The sequence below is a fragment of the Homo sapiens genome, chromosome 11, assembly GCF_000001405.40.
Source record: "Homo sapiens chromosome 11, GRCh38.p14 Primary Assembly".
Taxonomy (NCBI): Eukaryota; Metazoa; Chordata; class Mammalia; order Primates; family Hominidae; genus Homo; species Homo sapiens.
Window position 1 is genome coordinate 73,080,553 of NC_000011.10, and position 13,491 is coordinate 73,094,043.

The following is a 13,491-nucleotide window of genomic DNA, read 5'->3' on the forward strand; positions in this document are numbered from 1 at the left end:
GGCTGGAGAGGAATGGCTTAGTAAGTTTCTCATTTATTATAGGTAATCAAGTGATAATGTCTAGAATTGACAAAGAGTGAGTTATAAGCATATTATTTAAAGATATAGAGGCTGGGCATGGTGGCTCACACCTGTAATCTCAGCACTTTCGGAGGCTGAGGTGGGCGGATGATCTGAGGTCAGCAGTTCAAAACCAGCCTGGACAACATTGTGAAACCCCATCTCTACTAAAAAGACAAAAATTAGCCAGGTGTGATGGCAGGCACCTGTAATCCCAGCTACTCAGGAAGCTGAGGCAGGAGAATCACTTGAACCCAGGAGGCGGAAGTTGCAGTGAGCCAAGACTGTACTACTGCACTCTAGTTTTTCCTGGGTGACAGAGCAAGACTCTGTCTCAAAAAAACAACAAAAATAAAATAAAATAAAATAAAATAAAGAAATAGAAATAATCACCAGGAGAACCAAAGTAGACATCCACTTTTAATCTTTGTGGAAAAAGACTGGGATTGGAGCAGAGGACTCACTTTTCATAAAATTTAATGTAGTATTTTACATTTTAAATAATAAACATGTCCTATTTACTTGATTAAAACTTTAAATCGACCAGGCACTGTGGCTCATGCCTGAAATCCCAACACTTTGGGAGGCCGAGGCAGGTGGATCACAAGGTCAAGAGATCGAGATCATCTTGCCCACTATGGTGAAACCCCAACTCTACTAAAAATACAAAAATTAGAAGGGCATGGTGGCACGCACCTGTAGTCCCAGCTATTCGGGAGGATGAGGTAGGAGAATTGCTTGAACTTGGGAGGTGGAGGGTGCAGTGAGCCAAGATGGCGCCACTGGACTCCAGCCTGGGTGACAGAGTGAGACTCCATCTCAATTAAATAAATAAATAAATCTTGTTACAGAAGACTGTATCATATAAAAATTTTGATTTTGTATTAAAAATTTTTAAAGCATATCATAGACTTTTTTTCTATTTTTTTTTTAGACAGGGTTTCACTCCCATTGCCCAGGCTGGAGTCCAATGGCACTATCTGAGCTCACTGCAATCTCCGGCTCCAGGGATCAAGCAACTCTCCTGCCTCAGCCTCCCCACTAGCTGGGATTACAAGCATGTGCCACTGCACTTGGCTAAAATAGCGTATCACAGACTTTCATCTCAATTTTATAAATATATATGTAGTGTACATGTATGAAAGTGTATTTGTAAAGGGCATCATAACTGTTGCTATTTCACAGGTTTGAAAGGATCAAACCAGATAACATATATAAAATACTCAGAGCATGGTACAAAGTAAGGATTCAATAAATGTCAGCTATCATTACTAGTATTTATTATACAGGCATAGAAAAAGCATTCAAGATCGGGCGCGGTGACTCACGCCTGTAATCCCAGCACTTAGGGAGGCTGAGGTGGGCGGATCACCTAAGGTCAGCAGTTCGAGACCAGCCTGGCCAACATGGCAAAATCCCGTCTCTACTAAAAATACAAAAATCGGCTGGGCGCGGTGGCTCATGCCTGTAATCCCAGCACTTTGGGAGGCCGAGGTAGGCGGATCACGTGGTCAAGAGATTGAGACCATCCTGGCCAACAGGGTGAAACCCAGTCTCTACTAAAAATACAAAAAATTAGCTGGGCGTGATGGCGTGTGCCTGTCATCCCAGCTACTCAGGAGGCTGAGGCAGGAGAATCGCTTGAATCTGGGAGGTGGAAGTTGCAGTGAGCCGAGATCGCACCACTGCACTCTAGCCTGGATCACAGAGTGAGACTTGTCCCAAAAAAAAAAAAAAAAAAAAAAAAAAAGAAAAGAAAAAGCATTCAACAGAAATATTAAAACTGATGCTATTCATTATGTAAAGCACCTGATACACAATAAGCACTCAACAACTACTGATTGAACCAATGAATTAATTAGTTCTGTCTAGCTTTCAAGGAATAGGTGATTTTCTTCTAAGATTATCAAATCAAAAATAAAGGCAAACAGCTACAAAATTAACTATAATGAAATCAGAATTTCATTAAAAAATCTGACAAAGCCTAAAAGAGTCATGCCCCAATCTCTCATTATTTATAATGAGAATAAAAACAGTAGCAGCAATAGTGGTTACCATGTAGAAAATTTACTGTATGTTAATTTTTCCTTCTAACAATCTCCCATATTTTAAAATTTTTGCTACAAAGACAACTTTTACAATTTGCAGAAGGAAATAACAATTTTAGAATACTCCCCCACATATAAAGTAATTGCTTAAAGGGTCAAAATTTTCAAACTGTATCAAATTATCTTTGTACATGAAAGAATAGTTATTAATTCTTATACAACCATAAAATGATACATCAACATAATTTTTTCTTGTCACATTTTGTAATCTGGACTCCACTAAAGGTCTAAGTAAAATTAAAGAAGGAAATGCTTCAATTTCCCTAGGAAAAGCTCCATGTCATCCACTAAAAGCATTATTACTCTTTATCAACACAGTCATAATGAGAACTAAATGCGTGATGAAAAATTAACCTTTCATAAACTGCAGAGAATGGGGCATATAAAGAAGAATAAATCAACAAACTTGTAAAAAGTATTATTATTCATACTTGTAAATACTTTACAAATATAGTAAATAATGTCTCCTCCAGGTTTACAACCTTCTTTATAATGATTCAAAGGCAGCAAAGTGGGGGATCAAAATGAGACAGAAATAACAAGAAAAGGGCTGGGCACAGTGGCTCATGCCTGTAATCCCAACACTTTGGGAGGCCAAGGCGGACGGATCATAAGGTCAAGAGATCGAGACCATCCCGGCCAACATGGTGAAACCCTGTCTCTACTAAAAATACAAAAATTAGCTGGGTGTGGTGGCACACACCTGTAGTCCCAGCTACTCAGGAGGCTGACACAGGAGAATCGCTTGAACCTGAGAGGCGGAGGTTGCAGTGAGCCAAGATTGCGCCACTGTACTCCAGCCTCGCAACAAAGCGAGACTCCATCTCAGAAAAAAAGAAAAAAAAAAAAACAAGAAAGAAATAACAAGAAAAGGAAGGCATAGGGATAATATGGCTTCTCTCCAAAAACCATCTCTGTCCTTAAGCCACGGAAAAGAAGTATACCTAGAATGGGACCTCCAATTTCAAGCTTACCTGTGCATACTCTCTTTCAATAGCAGCCTTCTTCTGACTGAATGTCCTAAAAATACAAAGAAAAATTAATTACCAGAAGGATAACTTAATAATTTAATGTAAATCTATCAACACACCTTCAAATACTGCCTGGTTAAGATATGTGAGGGAAAGGACAATATTTTATTCATCTTTATGTGCTTAGGAATACTGCTAACAGCCTGGTCTCTACAGTCAGAGGATCTACATTCAAACCCCAGCTGTACCACTTACTAGCTGTATGACCTTGGCCAAGTCATTTGACTTCTCTCTTCCTCAGTTTCCTCCTTGCTAAAATGGGGATAATAACAGTACTCACCTCATAGGGATATTATAAAATTTAGTTACTTGAAATACATAAAGCACTCAAAATAGTGCCTACCACACAGTAAAACCTATATAAATGTTGGCTACTGTTATAAGAATAGCTACTATATATTAGGCACTAAAGATGTTTACTGGACTTAACCAATGTAAGAGGGAACTAATGAAAACAATGTGAAAATCAAATTTTGATTGGCTTCTGAATATGAAAAATGCTCAAAATGTTTCCTTCACTCCAGTTTTTTATAAGCATTACAAAACAATGTACAAGGCCACTACAAATTGTGGTATGATGAGAGCACACTTTCCATACATGTATTATATTTCAAAGATTCTAAGGTATACCCTTTTCTTTTCTTTTTTCTTTTTTTAGAGATAGGGTCTTGTTCTGTTGCCTAGGCTTGAGTGCGGCGGTGAGGTCCTAGCCCACTGCAGCCTTTAATTCCTGGGCTCAAGAGATCTTCCCACCTCAGCCTCCTAAGTAGCTGGGACTACAGGTGCACACCACCACATCTGGTTAATTTTTAAATACTTCTTGTAGAGATGGAGTCTTGATATGTTTCCCAGACTGGTCTCGAACTCCTGGCCTCAAAGCAATCCTCCTGCCTTGGCCTCCCAAAGCATTGGGATTACTGGCATGGGCCAACGTGCTTAGCCAGTACATCCTTCACCTGTATTAACATTTATGATACTGGAATGCATCTTTTAATGATGATTGGCAGTATTTTCCTCCATCTTAATGGTATATAAAATAACAGTGTACCTTACAAACATAGGCATTGTAGAGTCAACAAAATGTGGTACTACTGACAATTTACCTTGAATATCCTGAGTTTAAAGACTTTACCGTTATGTGCCAGGAATCGGTGCTCTTAAAATCACTGCACCAGTGCAAAGACCAAAGACATAAGAGTAAGAAGGAGGAAAAAAAAAAAAAAAGGAAAGCACTGAAATAAAGAAAAAGTCAAGAAACCAAAATTCTCATCTTAAAAATCATTTAAATTCACCAAATGACTTGATTTCTTATATAAAAATATAACTGTTTAAGATCTTACTATATTTGTTTTGAGTAAATAATTTCTTAATTTCAAAATAACAAACGGAAGAAGTTTCACCTTAAACCTAAAGACTCATGCTTATTCAAGAGTGCTTCAAATGGCCAATACAATAAAACGAAGACTAAGATTTTTTTTTAAATGTTTATTCAAAAAAAGTCTCCAGTGCATTCAAGGTTAAGCAATGAGAGAGGATTCTGGGAGATGGCAGCTTAGTAAACACCAGGAATCTGACTCCCAGGCTAGGTAACAATTGCACTGGCAGAATGAATCATGTAACCATTTTGGAACTAGGAGTCAACTGAAAGAGAGGGGATGACCACTGTTGTTGCACTTCCCTCAACATTGATGCAAGTTCCTCTCCTGACTGAAATGACTTTCGGAGGATTTAAAGAACTGATGCCTCTTCCTTCTCCCTTAATTTTTCTCTTTTTCCCCTTTTGAGAGCCAGATCTTGAAGAGTAAGACATTCTAACGCAACCACATTTAAGGGAGAAATTGAAAAGTCACCACACAAACCCACGGGAAGGTGCAGGTTCACAAAAGACTTCAGAAGACCTGATTTTAACACTTCAGGCACAGCTCAGTACAGACTACCTACAACATTTAAAAACTTTTTAACTATTAAAAAAAAAAATCCCTGGGCAAGGAGGGGAATCTGATTAGCAGAGTTACCACAAATCTGGTATTCTGGTTCAAGTTGATGTTTAAAAAAAAATGAGAGCAGAGTTACCACATTATTACATTCAAATCTCCAGTTTTCAACAAAAATCACAAGGCATGCTAAGAAGGGGAGAAGTATGGCCCATTCAAAGGGGAAAACAAGCCAATACAAATTGTCCCTGAAAAAGAATTGATGGCAGATCTACTAAACAAAGATACTAAAACAATGGTTTTAAAGATGTTCAAAGAATTAAAGGGCAAAATGGTAAAACTAAAGAAAACTATGTGCGGGCAAAATGTAAATATGAAAAGAAAGCAGTGCTACGGGGGAAATTTATAGCTTCAAATACTTACATTATTTTACAAGATGAGGCTGGGCTCAGTGGCTCACGCCTGTAATCCCAGCACTTTTGAGAGATAGAGGTGGGTGGATCACTTGAGGCCAGGAGTTTAAGACAGGCCTGGCCAACATGGCAAAACTCCGTCTCTACTAAAAATACAAAAATTAGCTGGGCGTGGTGGTGCGTGCCTGTGGTCCCAGCTACTCGGGAGGCTGAGGCAGGAGAATTGCTTGAACCCAGAGGTGGGGGTAGCAGTGAACCAAGATAGGACCACTGCACTCCAGCCTGGGAAAGAGAGTGAGACTCCATCTCAAAACAAACAAACAAACAAAAAACAAAAGATCAATCTCAAATCAACAGCCTAACTTTACAACTTAAGGAACTAGAAAAAGAACAAATTAAACCCAAAGTTAGCAGAAAGAAGGAAATATTAATAATAAAGATTAGAAAAGAGATAAACAAAGACAGTAGAAAAATAACACAGAAAATCAATGAAACCAAAAGTTGGTTCTTCAGAAAGATCAACAAAATTGACAAACTTTACCTAGGACTTAGGTGGACTTAGGAAAAAAGGGAAAACACTAATTACCAAAATCAGAAATGAAAGTGGTGAACACTACTACTGTTCTATAGAAGTAAAAAGACTGTACAGAGTATTATAAGCAACTGTACACCAGCAAATTAGATAAATTAAATGAAAACAGGAAATTAATCCAAGTGTCCCAGAAATGAATAGATAAATACAATGTGGTATATACAATGAAATATTATTCAGCTTTAAAAAGGAAGACAAATCTGATATATGCTACAATATGGATGAACCTTAAGAATATTATGCAAGGTGAAATAAGTCAATCAAAAACACACAAATATTGTATGATTCCAATTATATGAGGTCCTACAGCTAACTGTAAAACAGCCTCAGGCAGTTCCTTCAGGAGGTATACCAGAAAAAGGCATTGTATCATAGGAGATGACAGCTCCATGCATGTTACTGCCCCTGAAGACCTCCTATGGGACAAGAGGTGAAGGCAGAAGACAATAATATTGATGATTCTGACAGTGTGTAGGCCTAGGTTAATGTATGTGTGTCTTTGTTTTTGACAAAAAAATTTTAAAAGTACAAAAAAATAAAAATTTGTAAAAATAGTCAAAAGCTTATAAAGATATAAAGAAAATATTTTTATACAGTTGTACAATATGTGTTTTAAGCTAAATGCTATTTCAAAAGTCAAAAAAGTTTTTTTTTTAATTTACAAGTTTATAAAGTAAAAAAGTTACAGTGAGCTAAGGTTAATTTATTTATTACTGAAGAAAGAAAAGTTTTTGGGCCAGGTGTGGTGGCTCACCCTGTAATCCCAGCATTTTGGGAGGCCAAGGCAGGTGGATCACTTGAGGTCAGGAGTTTGAGACCAGTCTGCCAACATGGTGAAACCCCATCTCTACTAAACATACAAAAATTAGCCAGGCATGGTGGCGTGTGCCTGTAGTCCCAGCTACTCGGAAGGCTGAGGCAGGAGAATTGCTTGAACCCGGGAGGCAGAGGTTGCAGTGGGCCGAGATCACACCACTGCACTCCAGCCTGGGCAACAGAGCGAGGCTTTGTCTCAAAAAAAAAAAAAAAATTTTTAAAATAAATTTAGTGCAGCCTAAGTGTATAGTGTAATAAATAAACAGCCTACAGCAGTATACATTAGTTTCCTAGGCCTTTACATTCACATGGCACTCACTGACTCACCCAGAGCAACTTCCAGTCTCCTAAGCTCCATTCATGGCAAGTGCCCTACACAGTAATACCATTTTTCATCTTTTTCCGTCTGTCTCCCAAGCTGGAGTGCAGTGATGCAATCATAGCTTACTCTCAACTTTCAATTCCTGTACTCAAGTGATCCTCTCACCTCAGCCTCTTAAATAGCTAGGACTACAGGCACATGCCACCACATGTGGCTAATTATTGTTGTTGTTCCATTCCTTGCTATGTTCCCTAGGCTGGTCCTGAACTCCTGGCCTCAAGCAATCCTTCTGCCTTGCCCTCCCAGTGCTAGGATTACAGACATGAGCCACACTGCCCAGCCCATTTTTTAATCTTTCATACCATATTTTTGTTGTATCTTTCCTACATTTAGATATGTTTTGATATATAAATACCATCATGTTACAACTGCCTACAGTATTCAGTACAGTAACATGTTGTACAGGTTTGTAGCCTAGGAGCAATAGGCTATATCATATAGCTTAGGTGTGTAGTAGGCTATGGTTTGTGTAAGTGTACTCCATGATGTTCACACAATGACGAAATTGCCTAACAATGCACTTCTTAGAATGTATCCCCATCATTAAGCAATGCATGATTGTATACATACGTGTGTGTGTGTGCGTTTGTGTGTGTGTACTAAAATAGTAATGAAAGTTTTCTCTGGGTCATGGTATTATAGGCTTCCTTTACTTTCTTCTTTTGCTTTCCATAATTTCTGGTGTTTTAGTAAACATATAATGTTTGAAAAAAAAGTCCTTTTTAAAAAAAATGCACATTCATAAACATGTACACACACTTTTTTTACACTCATGTTGTTTTTCTAAAATTGGACTAAGAAATTATTATGACCAGCACTACCAAATGTTATCTCCCTACCCACTACAAATACCCAAGCAAAAGAGACTAACTAAAATGAACTAGTTCACACTTTCACCATTTAAAAACCTCTAAAAAGCCTATCTATATATTTTGTAGAAGGTTGGATTTTTTTATATTTCACAAAAGATAAAAGGAAATATTTAAATTATGTATTTTTTACCCTTTTAAGTTTATACATAACTCATTTTAAAATAAGGACATTCACGTGAAGTCCACAAGAAAAAGGAATAGCTTTTGTACCCTTGATGTGCATATCAACTAATTTAAATATTCTCAGTGGCATTTTTAGTTGTTAGTAAAAAGTTACTTGTCTACCAACTAATTTCCTGTTTTAAAGCAAAAGACAAATCTGGGATAACAACTACTCAAAATTCACATAATAAATATTTGGAAATCTATTCATTATAATGTATCATATATATATCAAGAGAGCACAGCAGAAGAAACCTGATAATCTCCATGTAAGATGAAAAGGCATTTGCTAAAATTCTGAATCAATGTCTCATAAAACTTTTAAATGATATTAATGGATGCTATAATAAAACAGACAGTAACAAGTATTGGTAAGTATGTGAAGAAATCAGAACTCTCATAGCGTTAGTGGAAAAGTAAATGGTGCAGGTTCTGTGGAAAACAATCTGGGAATTCCCAAACTGGTTAAACACATCATTAGCATATGATCCAACAATTCTATTCCTAGGTGTATATCCATGAAAACTTAAAACACATGTCCACACAAAAACTGGTAAATGAATGTTCACAGCAGCATTATTCATAATATCCAAACAGTACAAACAACCCACATGTCCATCAACTGATGAATGTATAAACAAGATGTGGTATATTTATATAATGGAATGTTATTCAGCCATAAGAAAGAATGAAGTACTGATACATGCTACAATATGGATGAACCTCAATAACATTACGCTAAGTGAAAGAAAACGGATGCAAAAGGCCATATATTTTAGAATTTCATTTATACAAAGTGTCTAGAATAAGCAAGTCCAGAGAGACAAAAAGTAAATTAGTGGTTGCCAAGGCCTGGGAGATTGAGAAAAACTTTGCCATTAATCCAAAAGTACAGTATTTTTATTTAACTAGATAAGCATTTTCATACAGAAAAATGAACATGTAAAAATAGCCATAAAAATTCCGAGAAAGAGTAATATTTTTTTAAAAAGCCTACCCTTACCAGATGTTAAAAATTAATTTTAAAGTAACAGTAATTAAAATAGCTTGGTAATGGAACATAAGTAGACAGAGATAATAAAACAAAAGTTAGTAATCAGGAATATACCTAAATATATCTACAAATTTAGTAACTGAAAATTCTCAGGGAAAAAAGATGAATTATCAGTAAATTGTGTTGGGATAACTTGATAGGAAGATCTAATGTTAAGTAAACAAAAAATGTACAGAATAATGTAAACCATCTTTTCATATAAAAATGTTTACAAATATATATTTATGGTAATTACAATACTTCTTTTTTTTTTTTTTTTTTTTTTTTGAGACGGAGTCTCGCTCTGTCGCCCAGGCTGGAGTGCAGTGGCGGGATCTCGGCTCACTGCAAGCTCCACCTTCCGGGTTCACGCCATTCTCCTGCCTCAGCCTCCCAAGTAGCTGGGACTACAGACGCCCGCCACTACGCCCAGCTAATTTTTTGTATTTTTAGTAGAGACGGGGTTTCACCGTTTTAGCCGGGATGGTCTCGATCTGCTGACCTCGTGATCCGCCCGCCTCGGCCTCCCAAAGTGCTGGGATTACAGGCGTGAGCCACCGCGCGCGGCCTACAATACTTCTTAATTACAGCATTTCCTCACGTCAAAAACTGTCCTGTGCAAAAATGCCTACTCTGGTTCCCTTAGAAATCACTGTGACAGAACTCCCTAAAATATTACATGAGACTAGCCTAACAAGGGCTCCACATGGAGAAACTGGCAGTATTAGTAGAAGAAAGACCTTTTACTACATTCCTGTTTGTACTATTTGAATGTAAACTATGTGCATATATATAATGCATGTTTTTATTGAGATGAAATTCACATAATATACAATCAACTGTTTTAAAGTAAACAATTCAGTGACATTTAGTGCATTCACAAATGTTGTACAACCACCACCACCTCTAATTTCAAACTTTTTCATCACCCCAGAACACTCCAGACCCATTAAGTAATCACGCTTCATTCCCCTTTCTTCTCCTCCCCTGTCAACTACTAATCTAATTTTTTGTCTCTACAAATTTGCCTATTCTGGATATTTCATATGAAAAAAATTATATGTGACCTTTTGTGTCTGACTTCTTGCACTTAGCATACATTTGTAAGGTTTATCCAAGTTGTAGTATGTATCAATACTTCATTTGTTTTTATGGCTGAATAATGTTCCATTCTATGAGTATACCACAATTTGTTTATTCATTCATTTATTGATAGACATTTGGGTTTCCACATCCTGAGTATTATGGATAATGCTGCTATCCACATTCATGTATAAATCTGTATGTAAAGACACGTTTTAGACCAGGCATGGTGGCTCACGCCTGTAATCTCAGCACTTTGGGAGGCCAAGGCGGGCAGATCACTTGAGGTCAGGAGTTCGAGACCAGCCTGGCCAACATGGTGAAACCCCATCTCTACTAAAAATACAAACAACAAAAAAAATTAGCCAGGTGTGGTGGTGGGTGCCTGTAATCCCAGCTACATGGGAGGCTGAGGCAGGAGAATCACTTGAACCCGGGAGGCAGAGGTTGCAGTGAGCCGAGATCATGCCACTGCACTCCAGCCTGGGCCACAGAGTGAGACTCCATCTCAAAAAAAAGAAAAAAGAAAAGAAAGCAAATATCACTTCCAGACAGAATTATAGAATGTCAAACCACATTCACATGTTATGCCCCAGCTAAGTTTCTTAAAAGGACCAGTAGGCTCATGCTTTCATGTTCTAGCAAATGTGGTCTTTTCCACTTGGAATTTCCTCCCGTTATTTGGCCTAACTCTTCCTCATTCTTTAAAACCTAGCTGATGCTGGGCGTGGTGGCTCATGCCTGTAATCCCAGTACTTTGGGAGGCCGAGGCAGGTGGATGACTTGAGGTCAGAAGTTCGTGACTAGCCTGGCCAACATGGTGAAACCCCATCTCTACTAAAAATACAAAAAATTAGCTGGTAGCGTGCACCTGTAATCCCAGCTACTCAGGAGGCTGAGGCAGGAGAATTGTTTGTACCGGGGAGACAGAGGTTGCAGTGAGCTGAAATTGTGCCACTGCACTCCAGCCTGGGCGACAGAATGAGACTCACTCTCAAAAAAAAACAAAACCTAGCTGAAAGTATGATCTCATCTGAGAAGCCTTCCTGAATTCCTCTTGTGATTCAGATACACCTCCTCTGAGATCCTCCAGCATCTTCTTTTTTAGAGGTAGGGTCTTGCTCCATCACTAAGGCTGGAGTACATTGGTGCGATCATAGCTCACAGCAGTCTCTAACTCATGAGATGAAGTCATCCTCCCTCCTTAGCCTCCCAAGTAGCTGGGACTATAGGTGTACACCACCACACCCGGCTAATTTTTTAAGTTTTTGTTTTTTTTTTTGTAGAGATGGGGTCTTGCTATGTTGCTGAGGCTGATCTCAAACTCCTGGCTTCCAGTGATTCTTCCACCTCAGCCTCCCAAAGTGCTGGGATTACAGGCACAAGCCACCATACCTGGCCCGGCATCTTCTAACATAGCATCTGCTTTAAGTATTGTGACTGTCTATGAATTGACTATGGAGCTCCTTGAGAGCATTTAAGTATACTCTGTATCTTAGTATTTATATGTTTGGCACAGTGACTGAACATTGTAAAAAGTTCAAAAAATGTTTGCTGAATGAATGACTGAAACAATAGACAAAAACTACATAATCAGTTTTCAGACTCTTCATAAATTTGATTAATAGCTCAGTAGGTTAGCTCCTGAGACACACAGAACCAAGATCACAATCTACATCCACATGGACCAATCAAGTTTCTTGACTTTGGTCACATTATATCAGTTAAAACAAGCATTTTGTGTATATCAAATCAAGGAGGGCATCGGAGTATACAGTAAAGGATTAACCCTACCCAAAGACAGGTCTTACCTTTGTCTTTGGCTTCTGGGAGGTAATCTCTAAGCCCTTGGAATATCTTGCCTGACACAAGTGTTTCTGTCTACCTGGGGACCTTGTGCCACACCAAATAGTCTATGCTAACAATGTGATTTCATCAGGGGTGGGTGGGATGATGAGCCTTGGGTCACTCAGTATCATCTCAACCTCTGGAGAGGCTGGAGGCTAAGGCCAGCCGCATGAGTAGTAATCATGTCTAAGTGACTGAACCGCAATAAAAACTGCATACCAAGACTCAGGTAGGCTTTCCTAATTGGCAAGACTCTGTGCATACTGTCACACATCATTGCAGAAGAAGTGAACACTGTACAGTTCCACAGAGGACAATGGGAAGCTCTGACTGGAACTCTCTTAGACCCTGCCCTGTACACCTCTTCCCTTGGCTGATTTTAAACTCTACTCTTTAGCTATAATAAATCATAACCTTACTGAGTAAACTTTCAGTGAGCTCTGAGAGTCCTGGCAAATTATTGAATCTAAGGTGGTCTTGGGACCCACAAAATTGCAAGTCGTGTCAGAAGTAAAGGTGGTCTTGGAGACCTCCAACCTTGAAGTTGGTGTCAAAGTGAAGGAGGTATTAGGGATTCTCGAACTTACAGCTGGTGTCAGAATTGAGAGCTGTCTTAGAAGAGCTGTAATGCACCCATTTAAATTCATCACCAAGATAAGCAAAATCCCTAAGAATGTTCAAATTACCAATGGTGGTAGTGAGGATGGGGTATTGATGATTTCTTTTTTTTTTGAGACCGAGTTTCGCTCTTGTTGCCCAGGCTGGAGTGCAATGACGCGGTCTTGGCTCACCACAACCTCCGCCTCCCGGGTTCAAGCGATTCTCCTGCCTCAGCCTCCCAAGTAGCTGGGATTACAGGCATGCACCACCATGCCGAGCTAATTTTTTTTGTATTTTTAGTAGAGACAGGGTTCTTCCACGTTGGTCAGGCTGATCTCGAACTCCCGACCTCAGGTGATCTGCCCACCTCGGCCTCCCAAAGTGTTGGGATTACAGGCGTGAGCCACCACATCCAGCTGATGAATGTTAAGAATAAAGATAGGACTGGGTGTGGTGGCTCATGCCTGTAATCCCAATACTTTGGAAGGCCGAGTCAGGCGGACAACTTGAGGTCAGGAGTTCAAGCCCAGCCTGGCCAACATGGTAAAACCCCGTCT

General features: G+C 38.8%; 1 protein-coding gene across 4 annotated transcripts in view; it reads right to left on the bottom strand.

The window, feature by feature from the left end:
* The window catches only part of FCHSD2 (FCH and double SH3 domains 2), a 305,574-nt gene that overhangs the window by 243,808 nt on the left and 48,275 nt on the right, over positions 1-13,491 (bottom strand). For all 4 annotated transcript variants that reach the window (NM_014824.3, XM_011545409.2, XM_011545410.3 and 1 more), the window contains one exon: positions 3,143-3,188. In NM_014824.3, the coding sequence (NP_055639.2) occupies positions 3,143-3,188 (46 nt within the window). The remainder of the gene's footprint in view (positions 1-3,142; positions 3,189-13,491) is intronic.